Source organism: Homo sapiens, chromosome 18 (assembly GCF_000001405.40).
Source record: "Homo sapiens chromosome 18, GRCh38.p14 Primary Assembly".
Classification (NCBI taxonomy): Eukaryota; Metazoa; Chordata; class Mammalia; order Primates; family Hominidae; genus Homo; species Homo sapiens.
Window position 1 is genome coordinate 71,729,898 of NC_000018.10, and position 13,474 is coordinate 71,743,371.

General features: G+C 32.6%; 1 long non-coding RNA gene across 1 annotated transcript in view; it reads right to left on the reverse strand.

Moving 5' to 3' along the window:
- Nucleotides 1-2,717: 2,717 nt before the first annotated feature.
- LINC01899 (long intergenic non-protein coding RNA 1899) overlaps nt 2,718-13,474 on the reverse strand; it is a 49,612-nt gene continuing 38,855 nt past the window's right edge. Inside the window, exons 2-5 of the long non-coding RNA NR_126324.1 lie at nt 6,526-6,657; nt 5,258-5,291; nt 4,777-4,915; nt 2,718-2,950 (exon numbers count right to left, since the gene is read on the reverse strand). This is a non-coding gene — a long non-coding RNA (long intergenic non-protein coding RNA 1899). The remainder of the gene's footprint in view (nt 2,951-4,776; nt 4,916-5,257; nt 5,292-6,525; nt 6,658-13,474) is intronic.

A 13,474-nucleotide genomic window follows, 5' to 3' on the forward strand; every position in this document is an offset into this window, starting at 1 on the left:
CACAAAATACAAATACTTACTTAGGCTATTGTTCTGAATTTCATATAAAAAATAGACTTATGAGAGTGATGATGTTTTCTGTCACAATTATGAAAATTTTATCTTAACTCTTACACGTTGCCACTTTTAACCAATAATAGAAAAGTGAATGTAATCTTTAAGTTAGTGGATCAAGGAGTGTATTTGAAAGCAAAGAAGTAAACATTTTAAATGTTGAAACTGAAAGCATACAACATTAATGTGTTAGGATATATTTAAAAATCTGTGTTTTGTAACTTAGTGACTGTTTTGGCTTATGGACAAAATAGACATTCATTATGGTAACTGCAGCATTTGAAAAACGCAGCACCCAGAGGTAATTTCAGTTAACTTAGATTGTGTGTTTGGGAAGCCCTAGTCACCTATTCCAGCATTATGTTTAATCTGGAGATAATAAGCCAAAATCGACCCAGTCTTTTTTTTTCTCTCTAACTCCCCAGTACACCCATTACATAATAATTATTTTATAAGTCATTTCCAGGTATAGTCTTATCAGAAATAAAACACATTGCATCTAGTTATCTTTTAAAGATAATTTGAATGGCTTCATTATTGTGTATATACAACTTACCAAACCTATCTTGTAAATCAGTATGCACTTCAACACCAGCAAAGCTTGCATAAACAAGAGCTTTATGAGTCTTAAATGATAATTACCACAATCTAATGAATTGCATAAATCATTTATAATGAAGATAAATAAAAAAGTACTCTGATATGTGCACATTAATAACTTAGGTTTTTCAAAAGCAGTGAGTAATTTAATTTAGATGGTATGTCCACAGACAGTAACAACTTGAATTTTATTTGTGAAATAATTAGCCGTTAATCTAAAGGGATACAACTTATCTACTGGCAAGACATTAAACTGAAAAATGAAGATTAATTTTGTCTTTGATGGAAATTATTCTGATAATATCTCATGATTTGAAAGTCACTCTAAAGAGGGAAATATGAAAACTGATTTAAGTTCATTCTGACAAACCTAGAATTTATTCCAAAATATGAATTAGCATGCTTTGCAGTTCCAAGTAATTTGTGATATGCTATCATTTTTAGTGATCCTCTCACTGAAGTGCTAATTGGAATTTTATTTATATATATTTATGAGTAAAGATAGAGGTTCATAACTTCTCTTCTATCTGTAACATCATAATTTGGGTTACAAAAATACATTATTCATTCTTGAGGTTCTTCATTGGTTAAAAGGATATTCACCCAGGTAACAAAAAATTTAAACTAGCAAAAAACTTTTTTTTCTTCCAGTAACAGTCTTTATCTTTGCTAATACATTTTTATAAGCATTTCATTTTCCTTGACTTTAACTAACCATCATCTTCTCTTCTGCAATTAAGTTTGAAAGCTGAACTTTTTCCAATCTATTAAGCTTCCAGTTACTTCCTTCTTTGAAAGATAAACAATATATTATAGTAGGATGGTCTCAAATTTGAAATCTATGCATTTACTCATCTGTTGGTTTATTCAACAACATTTACCACATCCTATGGTAAAAATGGTATAAATGGAAGATATAACTAAGGACATAACAGCTAACAATGAAAAATGATTATATTAATATTATTAATTAATTAATATAATTAATATATTATATTATAATTATTAGATGATAATTATATAATATTAGCATATATTATCTATTAAATAAATAATTACTATATCAGTAGCATATAAATGTATAATAGTTATTAATTATATAATATTTGTAATAAATAATTACTAATAACCAACACTTTAATGTAAATCTTCTTTTGGGAATGATTTATGCCTACAACTTAGTATTGAAAGAGGAGTCATACCCTGCCTAGGCCATTGAGATTTTATTCACTGAGGAGTTTTCCAATTAAGTCAATTGGCAATTGGCAAAACCAATAGTATAAATGGAATCCAGTGCCATTTTATAAATGGAACATACGTCTGGGCGCAGTGGCTCACATCTGTAGTCTCAGCACTTTGGGAGGCCGAGGCGGGCGGATCACCTGAGGTGAGGAGTTCAAGACCAGCCTGGCCAACATGGTGAAACCAGTTTCTACTAAAAATACAAAAATTAGCTGGGCGTGGTGGTGGGTGCCTGTAATCCCAGCTACTCGGGAGGCTGAGGCAGGAGAATCGTTTGAACCTGGGTGGTGGATGTTGCAGTGAGCAGAGGTCATGCCAGCACTCTAGCCTGGGTGACAGAGTGAGACTCTGTCTCATAAGAAGTAAAATAAAATAAAAAATAAAAATGGAAGATACCATGCCTCTCATTATAACAAGTGCACATGGTCGTAAAACCAACAGCAAAATAGCAACAAACTTTAGGACTTCATGGCCTTCAGAAATAACACTGAATAATGCAGTAGAGCGGAAGGAAGGGAATACCTGAGAAAGAACAGCTAGTATATGGACGACCATATCAAAGAGAATAATGATTACCATTTAGAAAAGTGCTACTGTTCATGACTTACCTTCATAAGTCAGCCTACTTGCTGAGGTAAACCAGTTAGGCTTAAAAACAAGAAATGAATAGACACATTTCGATATTTGGAGTTGAATGAAAATGTGTCTTGTTACAGTATTCTTCTCCACAAGTGTTTTTTTACAATGATGACATCATTTCTGGCACCAAATTATTGACTGCAATTTTATTCAAGCTGAAAGGCATTAGAATACTTATTACTTTTATTTCATAGTTTTATTGTTTTTTCATACAATGATTTACCAATTGGAAACTATAGTTGACTTTATTGATAAGTTTTAGGTGAGCAGCATCTTCTTAAAAATTTAATCTTTTCATGGGGAGAGCTCCAGGGCCACTTCTCTTTGATCACTCCTTCTCCAGATGTGTCAATATCAATGCCTATCATTCCAATTTGTAAAACTCATATATTCTAGTAAGTATACGGAATAGCCTCTGTGAAAAGAAAAACAGTAAACAAATTAAATTTAACAGAGTTTAATTGAGCAAAGAATGATTTGTAAAATGGGCAGCCCCAAACCCGAATAGCTTCAGGGAAATTTCAGCCTGCTTAGTGGTCAGAGATTTATGGACAGGGAAAGGAAAGTGAGGTACATAAAACAAAAGTGAGGTACAGAAACAGCTGTTTTGGTTACAGCTGTGTTTGCCATATTTGAACATGATTTGAAGAATTGGCCACCTTTGGCTGACATTTGGTGGTTGGCACAAGACTAGATTGGCTAAAGATTTAATTAATTATGCCTGCTAAATAAATTTTCAATAAAAACTCTGAAACAATGAGGCAAAGAAGGCTTCCAAGTTGGCAAATACATCTAAGTGCTAGGAAGGTGGCACACCCCAAATCCATGGAGATTGAATGACCTGTCCACACCTTGCCCTATGTACCTCTTCATCTAGCTGTACTTTGATCTTTTACAATGACCTGTAACAGTAAGGATAGCATTTTCCTGTGTTCTGTGAGTCGTTATAGCAAATTACCAAACCTGAGAGAAGGTCATGAGAACCTCTGAATTTGTACTCAGCAGATTACTTAGCCTGGGCACACATTTGTGGTTAGTGTCTGAAGTGGATCAGTTTTGTGTGACTGAGCTGTTAATTTTGGGGATCTGTACTAACTCCAGGGAGTTAAGTGTCAGAATTTAACTGAATTGTAAGACAACCAAATGGCGTCAGAGAATTGGAGAATTGCTTGGAAAACCACAGAGGCATGTACAAGAAAGCTGGCATACTGTGACAGAGCAGTAGGTAAGGTTACATACATAGTTTAAGAATATTAAATACATAGAAGATATTTAATGAAATATTAAAATATAAAAATATTCAAAATATTCTTAATAAGGGCAGCATTTATTTGGAAAAATAATTTGTCAGAATCAGAAATACTGATCCCATATAGTTTGCTAAGGAGTTTCACTGAGCTTCATTTGGAAGGGTATATGAGAAACCAAAGAAAGCAAAGATGACAGCGTTTCCCTACATGTGGTAGAGAAGAAAAGGAAAGCATTTAGGGAGCAGTTCAAGGTTTTCAAAATTCAGCAGTGTCTACATTGAAGAAGACTGGGATGGAAAGGGAACATCAGAGGAAGCAGATGTGGGGACAGTGCTCCTGGAATACAGATGGGAGTGAGGGATTCCTCTTGCGATTGAAGTTCTAGGAAATTCAAAATTGAGAGAAAAAGTTTTAGGAGAGAAAGGATTATAAAACTCTAGGCATGGAGGCTATTGAGGACACAGAGTTTGGAAGTTCCAACGACAGCTATAAATAAAAAATATTTGAATGTGACTTCCAACTGAGACAAATGTGGAGACCAGAGACAATTCCATCTTGAGGGAAGGGACACACAGATGCTTGGAATCCTGGACCAGAAGGGACCGCAGATTATTGTGTTGAAATGTGAAAGAAGCCTTGGTTTCCTTGTGAGGTTGGGGAGTTACAGAGCTAATATAAAACACGCAAGGCTAAGAGTGATTCCAGAACAAAACATAAACCCTGATATTAAAAGACAATAAAAACTGTTTCATCAAGTCTTCATCCAATTTAGCATCATGATGCCAGAAATAAGGGATGAAAAGGGAACATAGAAACAAGTTAATATAGAAACATGTGGTTTAGTAATAAAAAGAAATCAAAAAAGAGCATCCATTATGAAGAATTATTAAGTTTTCAAGAAAACTGGACTGTTTAAGATGCCATTTTCTGGGAGTAAAAATGCTTGTTTTGGTCAATGCCCATGATACACTGTAATTAATATAATAAATACCTATTAGTTGGTGATTTTTCCCAATTGGGTTTTAAGTGAGAAGTTAAGAGGCACTGAGCATTAATAGAGCATCATTCTGGCAAAACTGCAAGCTATAATTTCATAGGCTGTGCTTTATTTTCTCTGCCTTCACACTCCCCTAGAAAAATATACACAGAAAAATAACAAACACATACATATCAAAAACAACAATTAAATTTCGGTTAAACGCTGGGTAGTAAGGGAAGACAAAATCCAAACTCCAAACAATTGTCTTAATAAGATATTTCTTCCTGGGAGTAATTAGACAAAGAAAAAAATGAAGAAAGGGATTTTCTAAGAAGGTAATTTATTCAAGACAGTACAGATAAATTGAGTTATTTCTCTTGATAAAGTATACTCCTAACAATGTTCAATGAGTCAGAGAGCTAAATTTGATGACAACTTTATATGATTTTCTTCTGGAATAACTCCAGAAGCTCTTATTTTACACTCCACATACCTCTTCCCTTTTGCTTGTGGATCCACTAGAAGAGCTGAGAAGAACGTGAGAAAGACATAACAGAAGGGGAGGAAACAAAGTTAACAAAAAGAGAAGAAAACAGTGTTTGAAAATACATAAACAATTTTCTGGATATCTACTTTAAAATCTTTGATTGAACCTGTACCCATTTTTGACTTCGTGATTTTTTTTTATTATACTTTAAGTTTTAGGGTACATGTGCACATTGTGCAGGTTAGTTACATATGTATATTTTATTAAATGTCCTTTCCTTCACATAGTATCATATTTCTATACTCAACTAAGTATTGTATACATGAAATAAACTTGAAGTTAACAGGGAAATTGCAGACATAGGGAAACTGGTATCACAAACACCTATACACACACACACATACACACACACACACATACACACACACATCACAGGAGATGAGGTCCCTTTATTTGTAGCCTCATTACAAAACTCAAATAAAGTGAACCTTCTCTTTTGAATAAGTTTTGCAGTAGGAGTTGTATAAAAGGTAAATTTTTGGTTTAGTTTTCTTATGCTAGAAATTATTATTCAAATCTTTTTCATAATAAAATAACATGCAACCTTAGTTTAATGGTGATAGTATTTGGTATATGAGAAAGTCTTACAGGATTCCTTAAACAATACAATTTCAAGCTAGGTTAGTAAAATGTAAAGCATGAAAATGCAATTTTTATTAAGATGTTGAAGAAAACAGAATTGTATTATTTTATGTTTAGCTTTTCACCATAATAAATTATTTTACTAACTGGTAGCAGTTAGTAGAATAATAAAACTGGCAGGTTTTTGAAAATAATATATTAGAAGCATCATTTTTGTTTCTTTTCTCATGCATGACTAGCAAAAGAAAAGGTTCTGTCTACAGTCAACAAAGATGAGCATATGGCTTCCTGTAAGTTTCAGATCTATTCCCTTTGAATTGCTCACACACACACACACACACAAAATAGTAAAAAAAAAAAGTCAACCCTATTCATGAGTTTTTCTTTTCCCCTTTAACTTATTTCAAATACGTAAGGCGCATTCTTGTGGGATTCATTCAGTCAAATTTTACACACATTTTCATTTACCTATACAATATTAAATAGAATTTTTCAGCAGAAAATAAGTTGCAAACAATAAACAGCATATTTATTAACTGTGAAAAAAGAAAGTGCCACATTTGTCTAGGGAGTAAGCACTTTCTATACCTGAGAACATTGATCCAGTAATTCAAATATTTATCGATACTTACTACATCCTAGAAACTGGAACATAATTGATACACTTCTTGTTCTCCTGCAGTTTATAATCTAAGCCAACTAAACACGGGATTTCCAAATGTGCATTAAAAGTTCAAGAATCGGGTCTCTGGTGGAGTCAGCTTCTAAAATATTAAAAATAAAATATTGAATTCAGAGATCTGTAAAGTGTTTATGGTTAACTTTTACATTAAAAAGTCTATTGAACATTAATCTTAAAAATACAAATGAGCAATACATTTCACAATGTTGTCCAAGAACATGTTCATGTTTTTTTTTCTTTCTAGAAATAATTTATTTTTATGTTAAGTTATTCCATAGTTTCCTTTAGACTTCTGGCTTTTACAATTTGTTTTAAAAATTTATCCTTATTAACAATGTAACAAATGTTCTGTATTTTCTTCTAATATTTTATCACTATTTTTATTATATTTAAAATATTGAAACACATGTGATTTATTAATAAATTATGATGATTAGTCATATGTGTCCTGAATGGGCTTCAGGGTGCCCAGATACTTGTTCAAACATTATTCTGGGTGTTTCTGTGAAGGTGTTTTTGAGTAAGATTGACATTTAAGTTGATAAACTGAGAAAAATCAGAATGCATTCCCTGATGGAGGCAAGCTTCATCCAGTCAGTTGAAGGCCTGACTGGAACATAAAAGCTGACCCTCCCTTGAGCAAGAGAGGATTCAGACTCAAACATCAGGACAGGAACCAGACCATCAGCCCTCCTGGTCTAAGCCTATGCCATTGCCTCTCTTGGGTCTTCAGCTTGTCAACTCCCTCTGTAGAGCTTGGGACTTTCCAACCTCCATAATCATGTGAGCCAATTCCTTATAAGAACTCTCTCTCTCTCTCTCTGTCTCTCTCTGTGTGTGTGTGTGTGTGTGTGTGTGTGTGTGTGGTGTGTGTGTGCTGTTTCTCTGGAGAACCCTAATACATATGTGATTTTTACAATATTATTTTTTATTTGAATGAACTACTATTTCCTCCCTCTAAACTGGATATCATTTTTATGACATATTAAGTTCCCACTTGGATCTGTCTTCAGAATATTTTATTCTTATTTACTGGTCTATTTGTCTTTTTCTGAACTCATACGATGTGTTTTTATAGAATATTTTTATGGTATAGTTTAAACCTATTTAATATAGTCCCTTAAATTCTTCTATTTAATATAACTAGCAAATCACATATATTTACTCTCCTATATAGATTTTGAAATCAGCCAGTTCCTATTTTAAAATGTTATGTCAAGTTATGATGTTTAGGGATATGAAATGAAATATCTTCAGTTTCCAGCTGTAATTGTGATAGAATATTTATATATTCCCAGAAAATTATTTTATTTTTTCAAAACTATTCTTGTCATAATAGAAATGAACTGTGAGAGACTGAGATAATTACAGTGAGAATAGAACTAAATACTTTGTTTTTTTGTTTTTATGTTTTTAAAATATTTATCCTTTTTGTTGGTGAGTATCCTTCTTCCTGATATTACTGGTAGGAATTTTAATATTTCACTATTTAAAGTGGTGTATTGAAACAGGAGGCAACATGAACGTGCTCCCATTGACTAAAAGCTGGAATAATGTGAGCAAAATATAACTGCAGTAATATTGCATCTTAAACATAAAGATACAATAGATATTCATAAGCCCACACTGATATTAATAAATACTTAAAGAAAGAAAGAAAGAAATGGGGGAGAAATGACTCATATTCCTTAAAAGTGAATTCCAAATAATGCCTATAGAATTTATGAGTAAAATAGAACATCACTTTTTTAAACCTCAGTGACAATTGCTTCAAGTAAAAATCTAACTATGACTTCTGAAACTGGTGGTTGAATCTTGAAGAAACAGGTTATTCATATAGCCTCTAAGTAAAAAGTCCAAAATATTTATTAATGTAATGGCCTTAACATATGTCTTTGATATTCCTCAGCCAACCTTAGTAACTAAAGCAAAATACTAAGAAAAAAAAATGGTAAATTTATAGTAGAGAATCCCGGGAGAGATACCATAGCCAAGTAATAATAAGTCATGATGATATTAGGTATCCCGTAATACGATTTAATCAGAAGAGCACTTCAAATCCATAGTATTAATGCCTTAAATTCTAGTCTAACCATGAGAAAAGATTGGATATTCAAAATAAAGGACCCTTTATAAAGTGAGTCATCAGTAGTCATCCGAACTTTCCAATCATAGGCACAAAAACATACACACATACAAATCACTGAAAACTGTCATATGTTGGAAGAGACAATAAGTAAATGAATATGACTGACATAGAAAATGTATAAGTACAAATTTTAAAAACCTAAAATATTAATATGATAGCAATGTAAAGGTATTAAATAAAAAACTAAGTCAATTAATAAAAAGCAATCTTAGTCACAATCCTGACCTTCACTCTAACATTAATATTGCCAGACATTTAAAATTTATACATTTGAATGATAGTTAAAATTTACATATGAGCAATATATAAATTTAAAGCACTTTGAAATGAGATTACTTTTCATTCTATTTTGTTTTAGACATTTTCTAAAATATTATTTATTGTTAATTTAAAAATAATATAATTATTCTCAAAGTAATTCATGTTTTCTGAAATTCTATTTAGACTTTCAGAATTATTCACAAATCATAAGAAGCATTTATACTTGTAAGTATTATTCTAAGGTTTTCTGAAAGGTCAAATCTAATTATAATGAAGAACAATTTGAGCAAAATACAATCATGAGACATAAAATAATGGTTTTTCTAACCATTCCCAGCAAAATAAGGTAGAGAAAGCTAAATCCTTTCCTTATAAAAATAAAATGAAATAAAATATAAGTCCACATGAAGTACCCAATGATATAACCATATTATACGATCATGATGCTGGGTAAATTTTTATCTGAATTAAAGCATAATATAAAAATAGAAAAGAAGATTTTAAAAAGTATATAGTTAAAAAGACATATTTCACTTGCAAAATTAACCATTACACTTACTTTTAAAATATGCATAGACTAATAGCAAACAATTCAACAAAAAGGCCTAAAATAATTATACTTTTATTTTTAATTTTTGAGACACTCACTCTGTCAACCAGGCTGGAGTGGTATGGCATGATTATAATTTACTGCAGCCTCATACTCGTGGGCTCATGCAATCCTCCTGTTTTAGCCTCCCAAGCAGCTGCAACCACAGGTGTGCACCACCACACCTGGCTAATTTTTAATTTTTATTTTCGTAGAGATGGGGTCTTGCTATGTTTCCCAGGCTAGTCTTGAACTCCTGGCCTCAAGCAATGCTCTTCCCTTGGCCTCCCAAAATCTGGGAGCACAGGCCTGAACCACTTCCATGGGCCAAAAATAAATAAATTATCCATAATATGAAACAAACACAGTAAAAACAGCTAAATACAAATTAGTTTGTTGTTCACCTTGTCTATTCCAAAGAGTAGAAACACTGACAACATTCAACAATGATATAAGGGTGCCGAAAATGCTCTTTAATGCTCTTTAAATACCCTTTAATGCTCAGTAGTAGTCCAATGTTGGAGTTACACACATTTATATTTTAAGCAACACGAAGTTAAATGCTAAGTTTGCAATAAGAAAGAACATTTCAACAAAATCAATGTTTGGAAGAGGTCTAGAAATCACACAAATATAACTTTGTCACTGATGATGGGTTCTTTCCTTGACTAATCTTTCCAAATTTATGTTTATCTCAGTAGAAGTTAACTCTTTAACAACAATATTTGACGTTTAAAAAATTTTTGCCAAATCAAGGCAAAGCCTTTCAAACTCTCATATTAAATAGATGATAGACAACAACGAAAGTTTATCTGACATTATAACCCACATCTAAAATCTTTCACATTGTATAGATTTGACCTGACCCAAATTTTGCCCTCCCAACACTCAGATGCCACCAATCACATTAGTATGTATTATAGTTCTGGTATTCATTAATTTTAGCAACTTCTACTCCCATTTTTGTGTTTTCTTAGCTGATATTACAAGTCAAGACGATACCATTTTTTAAATACAAAAATGAGATGTGCTAGTTTCTCCATTTGCAAAGAAACCAGCACAAGAATTCTGGCACCATGAAAAATCTGAATACAGTGAAACCACAAAAAGACCGCACTAGCTCTCCAGCAATGATCCCTAACTGAAATGGAAACTCAAAATGACAGATAAAGAATTAAATCATGGATTGCAGGAAGCTCAATGAGATCCAAGACAAAGTTGAAAATCAGCATAAATAAACTTATAAAGCAATCCAAGAAATGAAGGAAGAGATAAACAGTAAAAAAAAAAAAAAAAAAAGTATTCTGAACTTCTGGAGTTAAAAAACTCATTTAAGGAGTTTTTATAATACAATTGAAAGTTTTATCAATAGACTGAACCAAGCAGAAGAAAGAATTTCAGAGCTTAAAGGTCTTTCAAACTAACTCACTCAGACAAAAATAAAAAAGAATGTTAAAAAAACAGTGTTTTAGAAATATGGGATTATATAACATGACTAAACCTACAATGTATTGGTATTCCTGAGAGAGAAAGAAAAAGTTAAAAACCTAGAAAATATACTTGATGGAACAATTAATGAAAATATCCCTAATGTTGCTAGAGGTTGACATCCAGATACAATAAATACACAGAACACCAATGAGATATTATACAAAACAAACATGACCAATGTATATAGTTACCAGACTGTCCAAGGTCAACACTGAGTTAGAAAGCCTTAAAGGCAGCTAGAGAAAATGGTCAGATCAAATACAAAGGAAACCCCATCAGGCTAACAGCAGACTTTTCAGCTGAAACCTTACAAGCCAGAAGAGATTGGGAGTCTATTTTAAGCATTTTTAAAGAAAAGAAATTCCAACCAAGAATTTCATATCCTGCCAAACTAAGCTTCCTAAGTCAAGGAGAAATAAAATGTTTTCCAGACAAGCAAGTACTAACAGAACTTGTCTTATGTTGGTTACCATAAGACAAGCTTTACAATAGATCCCTAAGGGTTTTAAACGTGTAAACAAAAGAACAATACCTCCTACCACAAAAACATGCTTAAGTACATAGCCCTCAGACCCTATAAAGCCACCAGCCTAACAACCTCACAATAGGAACAAAACTTCAAATCTCAATATTAACCTTGAATGTAAGCCAGCCTAAATGCCCCACTTAGAAGGGACAGAATGGCAAGTTGGATAAAAAATAAAAGCCATCTGTCTGCTGTCTTCAAGAGACCTACTTCAAATGTAAAGATGCCCAATAGGCTCAAAGTATAGGGTTGAATAAAAATCCACCATGCAAATGGAAAGCAAAAAAGAGCAAATAAGAATGATAAGATATTACTACTCTTGTATCAGATAAAAAAGACTAAACCAAGAACATAAAAAGGCATGAAGATGGGCATTACATAATGTCAACGGGTTCAAATCAACAAGAAGAATTAACTATCCTAAATATACATGCATGCAAAATGGGAGCAACCAGATTCATAAAACAACTACTTCTAGACTCACAAAAGGACTTAGACCACCCTACAATAATAGTGGGGGACTTAACACCCCACTGACAGCATTTGACAGATCATTGAAGCAGAAAATTAACAAGAAATTCTGAACATAAAATTGACACTTAAACAATAGGACCTAATAGATTCAGAACACTCTACTCATCACCCAAAAAATACACATTCTTCTCGTCCACACATAGAACATGTTCCAAGATCAATCACATGATCAGCCATAAGGCAAGTCTCAATACATTCAAAAACACCAAAATCTTACCAACCATAATCTTGTACTACAGTGGAATAAAAATAGATATCAATACCCCCCCCAAAAAATCCTCCCAAACCATACAATTAGATGAAAGTTAAACCACTTGATCCTGAAAGATTTTTGGATAAATAACAAAATTCAAGCAGAAATAAAAAAATTCTTTAAAATAAATTAAAACAGACATTCCAAAATTTCTAGGATACAGCAGAAGCAATGCTAAGAGAAAAGTTTATAGTGCTAAACGCCTACTCAAAAAATTAGAAAGATCTCAAATTAATGATCTGACATCACACCTAGAGGAACTAGAAAGACAAGAACACACTAACCCCAGGTCTAGCAGAAGAAAAGAAATATCTAAAATCAGAGCAGAACTGAATGAAACTGAGACTCAGAAATCCACACAAAGAATCAACTAACCCAAAAGTGGGTTGTGGAAAGGAGAAACAAGGTCTATAAAACACTAGCTAGCTCAACAATGAAAAAGAGAGAAAAATCCAATAAACACCATCAGAAACAACAAAGGTGACATTGCAACCAGTCCTTCGGAAATACAAAGGATCCTCAGAGACTACTATGATCACCTCTATATTAACAAACTAGAAAATCCAGAAGAAATGGATAATTCCCAGAAATGCACAACCTTCCAAGTCTGAATCAGGAACAAAAAACACTGATAAAAGATATCATAGATTGGAACAAACAAATGGAAAAACATCCCGCGCTCATGAATTGGAAGAATCAATATCATTAAAATGGCAATACAGTCCAAAGCAAGCTATAGATTCAATGCTCTTTCTATCATGCAACAATGTCATTTTCTTCACAGAACTACAAAAAGCTATGCAAACATTTATATGGAAGCAAAAAGGAGCCCAAATTGTCAAAGCAATCTTCAGCAAAAAGAACAAAGCCAGAAGCATCACATTACCTGACTTTAAACTACACTATTCGGCTATAGTAGTCAAAACAACATAACACTGGTTAAAACAAACAAACAAACAAAAAAAGCTAGAAACATAAACCAATGGAACAAAGTAGAAAACCAGAAATAAAGCCACACACCTACAGGTGTCTGATTTTCAATACAGTTGACAAAAATAAGCAATCAGGAAAGAAGTCCTTAATTAATGGTGCTGGG